Raw genomic sequence first — 17,084 nt, forward strand, 5'->3', positions numbered from 1 at the left:
TCCCACACTGAGGCCACAGCCCTGCCTGCGTCCTGTCTGCTGCATCTTCTACAACATGCTATCTTCCTCAAAGCTGAACTGACCAGAATATTCGCTTTGTCTTGCTGCTGTGACAAATTCCACAAATTCAGTGGTTTGAAACACAGGGTTTTCCCTCCCAGTTGTGGAGATCGGAAGTTCGGGATCCATTTTGCTGGTGTTGGCAAGGCCGGTCCCTCCGGTGACTCCATGTCCAGCCCTGGGGGCCACCTGCGTTCCTTGCTCCTGACCCTTCCTCCACCCCTGTAACCTCTGCCTCCCTGTCACACCCTTTCCCGCTTCTGCAATCAGACCTCCTCTGCCTCCTCTCACGAGGACTCTTGTGATTACATTTAGGGCCTCCCCAGATTATCCAGGAACATCACGCCATCTCCAGGTCCTTAACTTGATCGCACCTACAAAGCCCATTTTGCCACATATGGGAACAGCTCCAGGTTCCAGGCTTAGGCTGTGGCTTTCTCGAGGAGACATTATCCAGCCTTCCACACCCACCAAGAACACCAGGGGTCTACACCTGAGCACCTGCGTCAGGGCTGGATGTGGGGCTCAGCCGGATGAAGCCCAGGTCCCGACTAGTCCTACTTTATTTCCTGCCATTGAAATCCCAGCAGGATGTGGCCGCATTGTTCATTAGCACCTTTTTTCAGAAGTTCAGTTCTGATAATTAACATTCCCTCTCAGCTGACTCATCTGACTGGGAAACAAGCATAGATAGATGTTCCACTGGGGGCTGAGCCATGCGACTCCCGCACCACACACCAGAAAGAACATCGTGTCTCACACTCCCAGGCTGGCCTTCCAGCCACCGTGGACTCCCTGTGCACAGTATTTTGGTCACAGGTCACAAAAGCAAAAAGGAAACGTAGAGGAAGAAGATGTAGAATAAAGGGAGGAGTAAGAAAAGCATTTCTGAAGATGATTGAAGATATCGGAGGGGATGCCTTTTTCTTTTTAATGAAAGGAAGCAGTGGACAAAGGCCAGGCTGACCTGCCCAGTCACATCGGAAGGACCTGCTGACCCCCTGGGGCCCCAGAGATGCCCGGCCTTTCCCGCTTGAAACACAAACCTGCGGCGCACAGGCCAACGGTGCCCACACACCGTGTGCTCGCTCCGCTCATACCAGGTAGGAAACAGCAAAAGCAAGAGCTGGGTGCAGGTGCTGGAATGAGATACCGATGGTCTCCGGGACCTCTCTCCTTATCCCCGCTCTATCCTGTCCTGGACCATCTTGAACATCAGAGAGGGAGAGCACACCCCCCCAGGATGGGCGCTCTGTCCCCTGTGCTGCCTGTGGGGTCTAGACACCATTGAGGACTTGCCCACTCAGCGCAGGACTCCCGCCCACTCTTTGCCCTTTGTGAACAAGGGGATGGATCTGCTGCATTTGGGAGACATCTCCCTGCATACACAGGCCTCACTGCAGTCATTCTCATTCAATGGAATTCAGCCTAAATGACGACGCTTTTTAGACACCCAATCCCTGTAACAGCAGTCCCTGCGCTAGGCCTCTACCGTGTCTCTTGCCGTACCCTGCCACCCACTGTGTGTGGGTGCAGGGACGCAGCCTCAGTGGGGAGAAGGTGCCAGTCAGACCACACCCCGGCTGACCTGCCATGCCACCTGAGAGCCCCCCAGCACTCTGGAGTTTCATTTATTACGGGTCAGACCCTGTAAGGCAGATGTTATACTAATTTTACAGAGAAGAAAATTGAGCCTCAAGAAGTTCCCATTGGTGACCTTGCCAAAGTCATATGAGTGCCACATAGCAGAGCCAGAATTCACAACATGGGGGCTACCTCCAAAGCCCCAACCCCGACGCATGGATCACAGGCAACAGCTCCCCTCACCAGCTGCAGGAGAAATCACCACCACCACTAACGGGACCCGCCCTGCTCACCAGCAGCAGCTCTCATGCCTGCCTGAGGCCATGTCAACCGAGTCGCTCCTGTCCAGCAACACGTGTTCACATACATGACGGTACAGTTGCGGACAGCTCCGGTAGGTGCATGGCGCACCTTCTACAGCCTAGGGACAGCCAGGCTCAAGAGAGGGAGATGAACATGCAGAACCCCCGACCCTGACTCCGGAAAATGGCTCCAAAGGCTCTCAGCTGCAGGTCCATCCTTCCCATCCATCCTCCCTCTGCCAGGCCAGAGCCCAGGCCCACAGCTCTGAGCTGCATGTGGGTGTCAGGCCAGCTGGGGAGCAGGGCCTGATGGCCACATGTGGGTGTGGCAGGATTTTTGCCCTAGAGACCTGGGCTCACACAGGGGCAGTGAGCCCACTGTGGTGCCCATGGGGGGCTGCCCAGCAGGAGCCACAGTGCTGACCTAGCCCAGAGCCACCAAGGCCCCTGACAACAGGTGCCTGACTCTCCTAATCTAAGGTGCGCCAAGGCCCCTAACACCCAAGAGGAAGAGGAACAAATGAATGTGGGAGAAAGAACTGAGCCCAGAAGGTTCATGGGTCCAGGTACAGGAGAGCCCTTGACAGAAGCCCGGCTCTGCCTGACAGAAGGTGCCGGGCGCCCGCTCCATCGTGGGCCGAAGGCAGTCACAGGCTGGAATGTGCAGAGGGAAGTCATTCATCACAGAAACTCAGCGTCAGGAGTCAAAGACTTTAAATCTCACTATAAATCTCTATCAGCAATGTCACGAAGGCCATCTTCCTAGAATAAAACCTATTCTAGAAGCAACAGCTTTTAAAACAAACATCCTTATTGACTTTTCCTGTTTTTCTATTTCTTAAAAATTACCAGCATTAATACATGTGGAAATCTGTGCATTTTAAAAAATGTTGATAGTTTCTCAATCTTTTAAGATATTTTGTTGCTTTTAAAAATTTTTAAGTAATCAAAGTTGTTCGGGGATTTTTTCCCAAAAATGTTATTGTAAGATAACACTAGATCAGCTATATTGTGAGCCTAGATTAGACATTTTTTCTACAGAAAATTTTTCAAGGCCAAACAGTAGTTAGTAAGAAACCCAATGCCAGCACCACCTCATGCTGTTATGTGGTTCTCTCGTGGCTTCTGAGTAATTTGACTTACGCGACGGTTTTAATGACCTCCTCCTCCATTGGCGTCAGGTAAGCACCACTTTTTGTCTGCATTTTAACCCTCTACACCCAAGTCCTACTGATAATTTAGGCACGTAGTGAATAGTCAGTCCATGGCTAATTCCTAAGATAAAATGTCCTAAATGACCTCCAAGGACTTTGTACATATTAACCTAGAAGCTGCGAATTACATGGAGAATGGCCACGCATGGCTCGGGGGCAACGGTCCCGCAACAGCCACAGCTGTCTGTGGCTGCCGAGCAAACGCCAAGTCCAGCCTGCGGCACCTTCCTTCTGCACAAGCTTCACCAGCATTTTTAGCGGCACAGACCACAAATCAGCCCGAGGTTTTCTGTAAATTCACACACAGCAAAGAAGTATTATGGGGTCCAGGCTGATGACACCATTGGGGAGAACCCGTGTGCTCTGTCCCGGATGGCTGAGAGAACGTGAAGCTCTGCAGACTCGGAGCCTGGCCATGCAAGGGGACCTGTGATTCAGGACACTTCTTAAAACTCCAGAATATACCACTGTGGGTGACCAAGCCTTGAAACTCCAGAATGTTCCCACCATGGGTGGCCAAGCCACATCACAGGGAAGAAACCTTCAATGTGCTTTCTGTGCAGCACACTCCTCTCTTCTGTGATCTGAACACGAACCACCACCTCTAGGCTAGGACTCAGATGCAGTGAGCTCCACTATACCCACAGTCACATACGGACAGTAACTTCTCTTCCCGAATCCTGTCTGGATCCAAGTGTCCCTGGGCCAGAGTCTCCCTAAGAGACAGCCCTGAGTCCAAGCCCCTGAGAAGCTCAGGGCCATGCAAAGCAGGAGGCCTGGGTGTGGAAGGGGTATGGGTAGGGCCTGAGAATGGACTGAGGGGCAGACAGTTCAGGGAAGGGAAGATCACTGGGGTAGAGAGGTGACCTGGAGGGAGGTCAGCGTGGGCAGGGGTGAGACCAAGGAAAAGATTGACCATCACTAGAAGATCAGGCTCACAGGCAGTGAGAGGCCTTGGCTGAGTGGGAGGTGGAGATAGTAAAATGAAAACACGGGCACTACTCTATAACTCCCATGGCAATTCGGGCAAATGCCCATCACCTCCGTTACATCCAAGCTTCGGGAGGGTAGGACGAGCGTCTCAGACGTACATCTCTTCTCCTGCCTCACGCACACAGAGTGATTGTGGCCAGCTCATTTTAGCAGGTCACACTCCCTTCCCTCCATCAGTTGTTGTTCTGCTGTCATGAGCCTTGACACCGCAGTACGACGCGCTCAGGAAGACATCAGGACAGAGGTCTAGACGCTTACAACCCTGAGAGACACACTGGACGCTGCGCGCAAGAGCCCTGTGCATATGGACTCCGATTGACGCCATCAGATTCGCCCACAAGCCCTGTGCGTATGGGCTCCAATCGATGCCATCAGATTCGCGCACCAGCCCTGTGCATATGGGCTCCCATCGATGCCATCAGATTCGCGCACGAGCCCTGTGCGTATGGGCTCCCATCGATGCCATCAGCAAAGTTTTTTCACTTCTTTGTTGGGTTGTACTCTACAAGGACTTGACTGAGTCACACATCATGATCCATGCGTTTTCTTTGTTAAGATCTAGAAATAAGAGACAGACCCAACCTCATGCTGTGTCTCGGGTTCTCTGGAATGAAGGCAGTCAGCTATAGTCACCACTTTGATTCCCGCAGCCCGTCTGTTCAGTCCCTGAAGTGATGAGAAACCAAGAAGAATTCAAGAAGTCAAAGGTGTTCTAAAAATAAATGCTCTTTTGAAAGTTGTTTTGTTTGTCTGTGTTTCTTTCCTTCGCTATGTTCAAAGTCAACCAATCAACAGAGTTGCTTTAACAAGTTACAGGCAAGAGGGCTTCTCGTAGCACCTTTGCAAGCATAGTGTAGAACGCAGCAGTCTCTCCAGGGCTTGACCCTGTGACAGAGAGCCCAGGGCCCCAGGTGCCTGCAGGAGCTGACGGCCATGTGGCCTGAAGTCTTAAGGCTCGTGGAGGGCCTGCAGAGCCCCCTGGGCTTCCTGCCTCCTCCCAGCCTTGCCCGGCTCCCAGCTTTTCTCACACAGAGTCCTCTCAAAGCCATCTTCTCTGCTCCTCTTGTGTTTTACCCACAGTTCAGAACAAGAGGCTTCCTTGGTTTTTCACCCTCAGAAAGATTGTCCACATGATATTATGGATGTAAAACTATTTGGAAGCTAATATGATATCTGACCTTAGTTCTAGAGAACTAGTTGCAATTATCCTGGGCTGAGAGCATTAAAATTGGGACCTGTGCGAGCTTCTTAAGTAGTCGCTAGGGCATTTCTACCATAACCATTCCAAAACAAAGTCATTCAAAGTAAAATCCCCCCACTCCTCCTGTTATAAATTTGGCCTCACAGTTTAATGAGTAAAAGCTGCAAGCCCACAGGCCCTTGGCAGGATGTGTGGCCAAGATGTCTTGGTGCAAAGAATGTTACCGTGCACTTCGAGTGCAGAGACTGCTCTCCACAGCAGGCCCCAGGCTTGCATTCTGGCTAATGTCCATCTGAAAATTCAGATTGTGAAACTACAGCATACGAATCATTCCACAGGTATGAGGCCTGTTTTTCTTATTTGTCAATCTCATTCAAGCCTTTCTTTTCTTTGGCAACAGGAGGAAATACACTGGCCAATACCTAAGTACTAATCTTTGATTCATTTTTTAAAAATCTTGCTAATTTCATACAGAAGACAGAATAACTGAAAGAAGAAACAATTCTTTTCTCTAAAAGGCTAGATAATTTCTACCAGTGCCTTCTCCTTTCTCCCAACAGTCCCCACTCAGCCATTCCTTGTGGGCTGATGCCAGAAACAGCGTGGAAAACAAGTCTGTTTTCCAAGAGGGGCTATTACCACGAATTATGTTTAAAATGACAGCATCAAAGATTAAACCATCATTGTATATAAACTTAACATAGCTATAACCTAGGAAAAGCTAGTTTCATGGTGATAATACTAATTAGAAACAGATGTGTATTCAAAGGGGCAAGGAAAGAGGCTGGCAGGAGAGAAAAAACATTTTTCCCCCATAATGTAGTGCAAGAACCTTTACAGATATGGTCTCACCAAAGTCAGCTTTGTGCAACACCACGGATGCCAAGTGCAAGCTGTCCTGACAAGGCACATTTCACTGATGAAGCATTTAATAAATTGCAGATAACCCTTATTACAGGGTTACCCCTATTTTGTAGCTGGGGAGACAGGTGCTCAGAAGGATTCAGTGGTTTGGCAAGGGAGACAGCAAGAACACTAGGGCAGTGTGAGGTGGCTGGGAGAAGGGGCAGCCGGCAAGGTCAGGCACTTCCCACGGCAGGAGACTGGCACCGAGCAGGGGCAGGAGGGAAACAGGGACACCACCTGCTCCATGCCTGCAGAATCCTACCTCCACGGGGCAAGGCAAGGGCAAACCACCCAGCCTGGGGAGCTTTGCACACCAAGGCTCATAGAGGAAGACTGGCTAGGGAGCATTCGCCGAATGGAATCAGGTAGGGCTCTCATATCAGTAGCATTCTTGGGAACACCCTCTGACTGATCTCCAGGAACGCATGCAAATGACTGCATAACATATGCAAATGACTGCATAACAACAGGTACACATCTTGGCTGGTCGGAAACACTGCTTCTGGCCTGCTTGGTAATAAATCCTAGGTGTATGGTTACGCACATTTGTCCTCCACGCCCTGATATGCAGGTGCCTCCGGCTTCCTTGTAGCTGCACCATTATTTTCCCCTAGCTAAGCAGTTAGCAGGCAAGGCTTCTCACGCAGCTGCAAGTCAGATGTGATTAACAGTATTTCATATGGAATATATTTGTGTCTGATCCATTTGCTTGATTAAATCACACTGTAGCTTAACAGCCTATTTGTTGATAATTTTTACTTATTTGAATTCAATGTAATAGCTTTTACTAGTGAAAATATATCAGCAAACATAAAACGCTGAGAAAATGCAACACAACCTAATTCAGTGTAATCAGAAATAAAAGCAGAGCATTCTAGAGAATGCTGCTAGTCTTAGACCAGCTCTGCTTATTTAATAAGCACAGATCCTTGGAGCAAAAAAGGTAGAGTATTTCTGGCTAAGTTACTGGTTACCAACTCCACGTCATACAAAGTAAACTCATCCTGGTCCCCCATATCAAAGGAGCACTCTCCTGGCAGCTCCCTGAAGGTCCCCAAGGCCGCACACATCTCTGGTTGACCCGAACGTTGCCTTCATCCTGAAGCTACAGCCCTAAAGCCTCTTTCCTCCCCTTCCCCTTCACAGCCAGCAGCCCTGGAAGCTGCCTCAGAGAGTTCATACTTCTCCCACCCACTATTAAATTGCCACTTCTGAGAAACTATTTGCCCCACATGTGAGAAACAGAATGAAATTCCAGGTAAATGGTAAGTCAGAGGATGTGAACATAGTTCCTTTTTTATTTAATGGGCTTCCACTTCATTCTTCTACTTCTGAATGCATGAAAAATAGTCTGAACAGTCTTTGCTGTGCTGGGTGTGGCCAAAGACAGTCAGCACGTGGGTTTACGGAAAAGGACGGGCAAAGCAAAAGGGGCAAAATCTCACTACGTTTAGTTGTCTTTTCACATCGTTTAAAAAAACAACAACACTATTTCGGGGATTTTTCCTGAACGTAAAGAGAGAAAGTATGTAATGAAATTCCAAGCATAAGGCATATCACAGAAATTGTGACCACAAATAAGGAATTAAGCTTAATGTCTTTAAAATGAGTATATAAAGGAGCAAAAAGAAGAACAAATTCCAATTCAGTATTCACTAATATGGACTATTTATTGTGGTTTTTTTTTGGCTGTCAGAAAATCCAATAAAATTAAGATAAACATAATTTCTTTGGGAGCATTTATTGAGAGTACCTGAAAATTATCTTAATTAGAAATGGTTTTCTTGGAAACCACCCAAGATCTAGAAGAAGAGCTCACCTATCATGCCCCAAGAATAAGCCTTAGTGGTAAACTTTCCAGGAAGCTTTCTTTTTATCCATGACTGGAGCCAATATTGTTCCTGATGCTTGCTAAGAGTCCCTTCACACTTCCTTTATTAGGATACCATGTTTTCCTTAAAAGGGATGAGCAATTAAAATGTCTTTATATGTACAGATAGATGAATTCTGATGATCTGTGACCACCAGAAATAGAAATAAATTGACAATTGATCTAATCAGACCATTTAAATCCAAAGCTGCCAATAATTTCACAGCACTTATACCCTGATAGCAAGCTTCTTTTGACTTGTTTGCCTCTATTGTTAGACATTAAGCTCACTGAGGGCAGGGATCCTATTTTTATGTCCCAGTTGCTTAGCACAATGCACACAGTATGTGCTAAAATCTTTTGAGTGTATGAACAATTGAGCAAATAGATAAATAAAACGAAATTCTCCTTCCACTCAGCAGTTCATCACTAGCAATATCCCAGGTAGAGTCTCGCATTTTGTCTTCCTCATTCACTCCCTACTGTCTTTCAGGAGAAATGCCAGTTACAGCTGAAATAGCTCAAATAATAGGTCACCAAAGAGAACCCTCTGGCTTTGGTAACTCCAAACTAATAACTGCTTCCTAAATGAAATGACTTTGCATATTGACACCTTTAGCAAGTTGGTGGAAGTCTTGAGTTAATAATCTCACTTTTAATTAGTTTAAATGTACATTCCCTGTTGGAAGAAATACAAACTAAGCTTTGGAGGTTCCACATCCCATCTTCTGAGGCTCTACTGGCGTGTGGAAAGGTTGAGTGGGGAGAAGATTCCTTTCAGCTCAGTGGACCTATGGTTCTGCTAAGTTAGGACGGTGAGGGTGGTGCATTTCCTTGCTCTCAAAGCCACCTTAGCTCATTAGGCAACTGGCATGGGTAACGTATTTTGTAGATAAGTGCAGTGACTCATAGGCCAGACACTCAGAGGGTATCCTATCCCAGCCAGGTGACGGTAACTCCAGCTTAGCAAATGGGCCAGTGTCCCCTTTCCTCATCTATGAAGTGGACTGTTGAATGAGATGCAGGTTACTCTGCCCAGCAATGTGTCGTGGTTCTTAGGCAATACTGTCAATGCCCTGAAAGCAGAGCTCTCTTGGGGATGAGGGTCTTGCGGTCACTGAGACCTGACACCTTTCTGGGGCACACCCATGGAAGTCTATGGAAGATACCCAGTTTTCCTCTAGAAACCCCCAAAATTATAGTTGCCAGAGTCAACAACTTGGCCATCTCACTTGGTTCTATGCTGATAGAGGACAAAAATATTCAGTGAATTTCATTTTAATCTGTAATTAATAAACTGTTTCCAAATATGATTAAGTAACCTGACTTCTCTGTCACTTAGGGTTTAGCAAATGTTGGGTTATGGACGTAAAATTTATTTTAAAATCAAGTATGTTCAGAGAAGTTTTGCCAAGCATAAATGTAAAAGAGAGGAAAAAAAAGAAGGAACTTTAGAAATTTCTCATTATTTAAAAAAATAAAAAATGAAAATAAATAAAATCAAGTATGAAAACATTAGGACTGAGTCTCTCTCTGAAAGCCTTTTAAATGAAGATATTGTTTTCAACTTAAAGTAACTACATTAATTTCCTGTTTATGTCACTAGACTTTGAATTTCAAATAACAAAAATTTTCAAAGTCTTTGTATATTTCAAAATATAAATTTCACAGAAACAATTTTAAAATGTTTCCTATTATAAAACAAGTTATCTTTCTCATTCATCCACACAGAGGAAATACACATCTGTGTTCAGTACTTTGTGTCCTATTTCTCAACCTCAATCCATTGACAGACCTCCCCTGCTCAGTTTTACATTTTTTGATGAGTGCTTCTTGGCCTATAACCAGCTGTGAACACACAAACGAACAGGCAGCCTTCTCAAGTATGGGTAGGGCGCAGAAGAGGAACTTACTGGACTGGGGCACAAAGTCAGCTGCTTGTGAGACTCATCACTGGGTGGAAGTGCCCTGAGGCCAGGACTTCTATGTCTCGTGTCTTTTTGGACACAGTATCCAGAAAAAGACCAGCCCAAGACCCGGTCCTCCATAAACACTTGCAGAATGAATTCCTTGGAAAGCTTTTAACAAGACTCTCAAACTCTCAGGGTTTCTTCCCCTTAGCAATAGAATGAGGAAAGTTACATATGCTACCCCGATTTTCACAAGTATCAAATAATAGAAAGCTGGGGAATGCATTTGTAAAAAAGAGAGCATTGTATTAGCATTGACCTTTTTTTTTTTGAGACAAGTCTCGCTCTCTCGCCAGGCTGGAGTGCAGTGGCGCAATCTCGGCTCACTGCAACCTCTGACTCCCTGGTTCAAGCGATTCTCCTGCCTCAGCCTCCTGAGCAGCTGGGATTACAGGCACGCGCCACCATGCCCAGCTAATTTTTGTATATTTAGTAGAGATGGGGTTTCTCCATGTTGGCCAGAATGGTCTCGATCTCCTGACCTCATAATCCGCCCGCCTTAGGCTCCCAAAGGGCTGGCATTACAGGCATGAGCCACTGCGCCCGGCCATTATTGACCATCTTAGTGAGACCTCCAGCACCTAGTACGGGATCTGGCACACAGGAAGCACTAATTGACTACTTGCTCTTAGACTACATGTATTTTCAGCCCATTTGACCTCCTACATCGCTGATGGTTTATGTATGACTTCTAGAAATTTTATTTCTACATGGAAGAAACCTCGTTTCCTATTCCCACCACCCCCCCACCCCCCCCCCCGCTTGTTTCCCACTGTATTCTTTCCGGAGGCACGCCTGCAGCCCAGCCCTCCTTGCAGAACCCTGTGACACCAGAGGCGTGTGTATCCAGAATCAGGCAGATTCCTGAACTCCCACTGGTCAGCCAGTGTCTAGTGCTGCTCTTCATAAACAATGCCTGGAGTGTGCTCACACGTGTACCTCTTCTTGGCAAAGACAGTAAATGGAAGGAGACAAGGAGTTGTCTAATAAACTTGGCATTGAGATGAAACAGGAAACAAAGACATGTATCCGGATAAAGATAAATACTGTTCTGAGTTTCTGATCTTGTCAACTTCAGATTTTTTAAGTGCCTGTGTCCCAGGAAAATGATTTGCCTCACTGGTGTGCTTCATTTCTTTCAATATTAGACTTAAAAGCAAGCCCTCCTCCAGTACTGGATTAACAGTTTTGTTTGAAAGATGTGTTTTACCCTCGGGAACCGGCCATACTGATCCTATCTAGTACTTCCAATTCTGATTTAGGGATGCCATAAGAGAAACTTTTTAAACAAGTAATTCTCTTCTACTTTTTTGTCTATTCCTCAGGTCTCTCAATGGTTACAGAACCCATGTCTGTGTCTAATATCATGGCAGCTGGGACAAAGAAAACCAAGATGAAACATTTGAGATTGTTCCAGCTGAAACAAACCAACCAAAACCCCACAGGTGCCAGCCTTGAGGCAAAGGCGGGACAGTGTCAGGCGAAATCTTTGGGTCCCAGCCTCAGTCTCCCCATCACCATGTCTTTTTCACTTAAACACGTTTCACTGTTTTGTCATCTATAGATTCAACAATGTGATTTGGACACTGGGAATAAGAGAATAAGATTTGATGGTTGAAATAAAACACACCACGAGAGAACCGTCCACAAGGAAACTCTAAGATGCCAAGATGCGGGACAGGTAGAAAGGACAGGGCTTTGGGAGTACTCTGGGTTTTCAGGACGAATCTGTATCAGCCTCGGCGCTGCGAGGATATTGCATCAGGCTCTTTACTCCTGAACGCCGTTTTAGACGCCTAAGCAGATTGTGCTGCTGCCTGTTCTTCCCCGTTCTGTGAATTCTACACTGACTTCAAGTGCACGAATGAGCTACAAGATAAGGTGGAACCTGCCGGCCGGGCACGGCAGACAGCACCTGATCAGCGCCTCGGAGGGCGGAGCTGGGGGGCTTCTCCACTCGGGACTTTGAGGGACCCCCGCGGAGCGCTCCGCGCCACTCGGCGGTCTAGCTGCAGAGAAAGCCCCTCCTCACCCGGGGCTCCCTGTGGCCCACAGGGGACCATCCCACACCCCGTGCAGCCAGCGGCGGAGAAACCAGCTGGAAATGCAGTGGGGGTGGAGTTGCCCCCGCGAGGACCCACGGACCGCCCAATTACTACGGAGTCCCAGCGATAACGTTTGGAGCCGTTTGGTTCGATTTTCGGAACCGGACCAGCTTTCCAGTAACTTGAACTCCCTGACGGGTCTCGGGGTCCACCCAGGGGTGGCGAGGCGGGCTCGGGCGACCACGGCCCGCTCAGTGCCCGGCACCTGCGCGCCCCGAGGGCGGCCGCATTACCTCGAGCCGGCTCAGGCTGGAGCTCTTGGAGCGCGACTTCCTGCGCAGGTACACAGAGAAGAACCTGCGCACGGCGAACTTCTTCATGCTCAGGTCCATCGCCCCGCGCCCAGCCCGGAGCAGCCGCAGGGCCGGGGGACGCGCATCCCCGGCATCCCAGGCGCGGGGCTCAGGTCCGCGGGCGGGCACGCGTGGCCAGGGAGCCCGGCACGGCGGCCATGGGCGCGGGGCGTGGGGCGCGAGCTGCGGTCACAAAGGGCAGGCCGCGCCGGCCACCGCGGCCGGGGCCACAATCGCTCCCTCCGCCTCCTTCTCCGCCTCCCCTGCGAGTACCAGCGCCGGCCACGCGCCACGCCTACACCACGCCCACCACCACTACCACCAATCAGCGCCCGCCGCTCCGCGCCCCGGCACGCACACCTCCTCCTCCTCCGCCCCGCCCCGCCACTACGGCCAATCAGCGCTCACCACCCCTCCCGTTCCCACCCACCACCAGCACTGCCAATGAGAGCCCACCGCCCCGCCCGGGAGAGCCCCGCCTCTGCCGATACCTCCAATCATCAGCGCCGCCCTGTGGTTCCAGGTGCCCATCCCTCCTCCTCTTTCTACTCCTTCCTACAAGAACCAGCTCCGTGCAGCCCCGCCCCCACGCGGTTCCGCCCACGGCCCCGCCCACAGCACTGCCCGCCAATCAGTGCCCGCAGCCGCCGCATACCTAATGAGCCTCGGCCCGGGACAGCTCCCGGCCCGGGCGAGTTGTGCAGCTGCTCCGGAGCCGCGCAGTCGCGGGCGTTCCTGTCACGCAACTTCGGCCCGGCTGCTCTTTCTTCCAGCTTGGGGCCGTCATTATGTTTTCCTTCCTTAAAACATCCCTATGCACACTTTGTCATCATGTTTTTCTCTGCCGAACCAAACTTTAATTGTTGATCAGCAAACGCAGCCAAAACCTCAGCGGCACAGCGAGCGAGGGACCGCCGCCTGCCAGCGGGCCCTGCAGCTCGGCCAGGAGCCGCCCTCCGCGGAACCGGCGCCTTCCCTCCGCCGGAGCGGACAAAGGCGCCCGAGGGCGGGGGCTCAGGCAGCCCTCGGGGCGCCTCCCTCCCGCGGCTGCAGAACAAAGACGCATCCGCCCTCCGCAGCCGGTCCCGCTCTAGGAAACGTCTACACAGATGGCTTATCAGGGCCCGCGCTGGGAATACCCGGGCGGGGTGACCTGGGTCTAGGGCAAGGCCCTCAGACCCGCTGCTGGCGGCAGCGCCGCTCGGGATCCGCCTTAAAGGGAAACACTTTTTTCTTTTTTTTCCTAGAAATGCTCACCAAGGGCTGCAGCAGGGCCGAGAATGCGGGCTCACGACCCCGTGCAGCCTGCTCTGTTTTCCTCTTGTGCACGTGTTGAGTTTGTATTTAAAAACAGGGAGAAACCGAGCCCATTGACATAGCACCATCACCACCTGCAAAGAGCAGAAACGAGTGCGGTGGTGAGTTGACAAGTCTTGCTTGCTCTTTTGCAGTGCGAACTGCAAAATCCTCGCGTTGTTTTGCTCCCTGGACTAGTCAGATGTTGCGTTAATACTTGTGTAGTCTATTTTGGCTAAGGTGGGTAGAGAGGTCAGAATGTCCTTAAATAAGAGCTTTAAAGTCATGCTGCATCCGGGCTGAGGTGAGGTCAGATAGGCTCTCTGGGTTTCCTGGAGACCCGCGTTGAGCGGTGCTGCTCCGGAGTGGAAGCCGGGAGTTTAGCACCACGACTCTGGCGCTGCCCCTTCCTTGCTTGGTGAACTTGGGTGCCGTTGCACGTTGTTCCCACGACTCATCTCTAAGAGGAAAATACGAGTGAAACCTGTCTCACCTCCCTTACTGGATACCAAGAGGCTTATGCAAGATCACGGATGTGGGAGTGCTTTGTGAATTTAAATAGTGCAATTGATTTTCATATTATGTATTAAAGGATCTATAATGACTATTCTTTAAAAACAGAAGTGCAGGACCCCACAAGGACACCAAACACCACTTTTTGCTCCTTTTCAAGATGGTGTGCCAGTTAAGTGCCCATGAAAACTGCTTTGCCTGCTTCCTTTAAGGTTCTGCTGGGAGGGTAGTAATCTGTGCTCTCAGAACCAGCCTCTTAGTGCCCTGTATCCCTGCTGGGACCCTCAGGCATCCTGGCTCTAGGCAAACACAAAGACACTCTGTACCCAGCACGGGAAGAGGTAGATGGACCTCCAACTGGACACAGACTCCGGGAATGAGGGAGGACCAACCCGACCATGCTTCCCTCGGAAGGGGAGCCAGTAATACTGGCCGGAGACAGGAGTGCTGAATGCCACCTATACCAACTCATGGGCATCCTGTTCAGGACAAAAGCCCCAAGGCAGGCAGGCCTAAGTCAAGGCTTGTGTTGTACCAACAATAGTATTTTGACCTGATCTGACAAAATTGGAAAGGAAATATTTCATGGGACATTCATTAGTTCCCCAAATTTGAAGGCAACAAAACTGTTCTGTTGAACTTGGGAGGGAAAATCATTCAGATTTCACTGGAATTCATTGCTAGAACAATAAATCTGTTTGCCTTTGTTTTTCTCCTGGTAAAATACACGTATACCAAAATCTCTAGTGATCATGGAACACTACTTCATGTGATTATGTAATGAAATCCTCCAAAACCACTAAATCTAGGGTAGGTATAATATCAAGACCCACTGTAACCGAAATCCAAATTATCCTTACCAAATACCAGAAAAGAAAGTGAACTTGATAAAGGCTCTTGCCCAGATGATGGAATGGGAGAGGACTGAAGAGAAGATAAAGAGCTTGGTAGACCTCTGAGTATCTCACATTTCCTCTGACTCAAGCACAGTAAGTTTGAGACTGAATTCCGTGGTGACTGCTGCTTCTATGAGTACCAGATTAGCTGATGTGTGGTCAATGCAATTCCACAAGTGATTATCGAGCACTAACATCTGGCACTGTGGTGGTCATTTGTGACACAAAATGATTACAACATCCCAAGAAGTTCACAGTCTTATGGAAGAGAAGGTGAGTGAACAGACAAAGCTCATGCCGTTTTTATGTAAAGTGAAAGAAATGCGTAAGAGATGAATGAGAAGCCAATTCTAATTGGCGAAGTCAAGGAGGAGATGGCCTTTGCTCTGAACCCCTGAGGGTAAGAAGATGAGGGAATAAGTTTCCTGGACAGACAAGAGGAGGCGGGAGTCCCAGGCTGAGGAATAACAGGGCACTGTCAGGCAGCTGTGACAAGGTTTCCCATCTCTCCCTGCTACACAGGCACCTTGTGGGTAAGGCTGGTGTGCTCTCTGCATATGGGAAGATGCCACATTCTCGGGGCACCCCACAGGAGTGGCTTGAGTGACATCCAAGAGCTTCTAATTAGTCAAGTACCACAAATGTCTGTTCGTCTCCAAACAGTCCTACAGGCTGCTGAAAGTTTCAAGCTTCTAAAACTCCCACATATTTTCAATAAAACGCTAAATTGCACTTCAAGTGAAACTATATATCTTTAAAATAAATTGAAACATTCGGTCTTCATTAGGACTAAAGTTTTGCCATGGGAGGTGAATTCACTAGGTTCACCTGATGCAAAACTTCACCAGGATCACCAGGGTCACCTGGTGCTGGCCATCTGCGAAAGCAGGAAGTCGTGCTTTTCCGGAGTATCAGCATTCGAAGGCTCTGCCCATCACAGGCATCCTGCTGGATGCTCCAGAGACAGTGTCCAGCCAGTACGAGGGAGGGAGGTGGGCTTCAGTGTGTGCCCCTGTGAACTACTTCCTGTGGCTGTGATACAAATGGGTTTAGTCAAGCTTCCCTTAGTGTAGTCCCTGAGTGTACAGAAAGGAATCCTTTTCCTGGGCTGTGGATCCCCGTGTACTTGAAATGTTTATGACTTTGAAGTTTCTTGAATGTAGGAATTAGTCCTTGCTCAGGAAGATGGTCTTAAAGTCCTGAGACCCTAGAAGGTAAACTGTAGTGGACAGTTCAGGTGGGGGCACGTTCGGAGCAGGTGTCAGCAAGGGGCCTGGAGCTGTCAGGGAAGGGCTTCTTGGGCCCTCGGCAAAAGTCAGAAGGGATCAAGTTTGCCTCTGGTCTCTGGCTGGCCCCTGGCCCTCACCCACAGGACACTTGGGTCTCATTCACATCTGGGTGCCAACCAAGCCATGTCAGAATGACACCTGTGCCCTCAGTTTAACAGTTTAAAATCTCTGAGCATATCGAAAATTTAAAAAGAAAGTCTTAATGCGTAAAAGTCTTCAAAATGACAGAAATAAAGCTCTAATGGTGAAGTACCAGGAAATGGAATTTACATTTGAAACCAGAGGGCCTGGTTTCTGAGTAGTCAGGAGAGGCAGGTGGAAACCCACAGGCCAGTTGTACTTGACCCTTATTGACTGGCTTACATTTAGGAAGAAAAACCACATTGGGTTTCAAGCTGTGGAAACCATCATGGTTGGCTTCCTCCCTCCCCGCTGGAGCCCTCATCCCCCATCCAACCTGGGTAGGAAGGCACAGGGCTCACAGAAGGTGGGCTTCACCTGCAACACCTCCCCCGCCAGCCCGCTGTGAGGACAGCTTTGGATTTTATTGGTTTTTAAATACTATGTTCCTTCATACCACTTTCTTTTGAAA

The 17,084-nt window shown here is 49.0% G+C and overlaps 1 protein-coding gene across 8 annotated transcripts in view, besides 5 other annotated features; it reads right to left on the reverse strand.

The window, feature by feature from the left end:
* The window catches only part of RPS6KA2 (ribosomal protein S6 kinase A2), a 453,410-nt gene that overhangs the window by 205,119 nt on the left and 231,207 nt on the right, over positions 1 to 17,084 (reverse strand). The window contains exons 1-2 of one of the 8 annotated variants that reach the window (XM_006715549.4): positions 12,439 to 12,769; positions 4,736 to 4,819 (exon numbers count right to left, since the gene is read on the reverse strand). The exons of 6 other annotated variants lie outside the window; for them this stretch is intronic. In XM_006715549.4, coding sequence (XP_006715612.1) covers positions 4,736 to 4,819; positions 12,439 to 12,537 — 183 coding nt within the window. In that variant the 5' untranslated portion in view covers positions 12,538 to 12,769. Of the gene's footprint in view, positions 1 to 4,735; positions 4,820 to 12,438; positions 12,770 to 17,084 lie in introns of those variants that run through there. One more of the 8 variants, NM_021135.6, reaches the window with a different exon arrangement.
* Positions 4,038 to 4,804: an enhancer, noted in NCBI's record as "H3K4me1 hESC enhancer chr6:167032008-167032774 (GRCh37/hg19 assembly coordinates)". NCBI's record gives its function as "activates a minimal SCP1, AML or CMV promoter by ChIP-STARR-seq in naive H9 embryonic stem cells {active_cell/tissue: H9 hESC(naive)}" and the evidence as "EXISTENCE:reporter gene assay evidence [ECO:0000049][PMID:30033119]".
* Positions 6,465 to 6,965: an enhancer, noted in NCBI's record as "OCT4-H3K4me1 hESC enhancer chr6:167034435-167034935 (GRCh37/hg19 assembly coordinates)". NCBI's record gives its function as "activates a minimal SCP1, AML or CMV promoter by ChIP-STARR-seq in naive and primed H9 embryonic stem cells {active_cell/tissue: H9 hESC(naive and primed)}" and the evidence as "EXISTENCE:reporter gene assay evidence [ECO:0000049][PMID:30033119]".
* Positions 12,639 to 12,988: a silencer, noted in NCBI's record as "silent region_17779". NCBI's record gives its function as "represses an Ori minimal core promoter by ATAC-STARR-seq in GM12878 lymphoblastoid cells {active_cell/tissue: GM12878}" and the evidence as "EXISTENCE:reporter gene assay evidence [ECO:0000049][PMID:35858748]".
* Positions 13,049 to 13,218: a silencer, noted in NCBI's record as "silent region_17780". NCBI's record gives its function as "represses an Ori minimal core promoter by ATAC-STARR-seq in GM12878 lymphoblastoid cells {active_cell/tissue: GM12878}" and the evidence as "EXISTENCE:reporter gene assay evidence [ECO:0000049][PMID:35858748]".
* Positions 13,469 to 13,528: a silencer, noted in NCBI's record as "silent region_17781". NCBI's record gives its function as "represses an Ori minimal core promoter by ATAC-STARR-seq in GM12878 lymphoblastoid cells {active_cell/tissue: GM12878}" and the evidence as "EXISTENCE:reporter gene assay evidence [ECO:0000049][PMID:35858748]".

This window comes from Homo sapiens, chromosome 6 (assembly GCF_000001405.40).
Source record: "Homo sapiens chromosome 6, GRCh38.p14 Primary Assembly".
In the NCBI taxonomy this organism is placed as follows: Eukaryota; Metazoa; Chordata; class Mammalia; order Primates; family Hominidae; genus Homo; species Homo sapiens.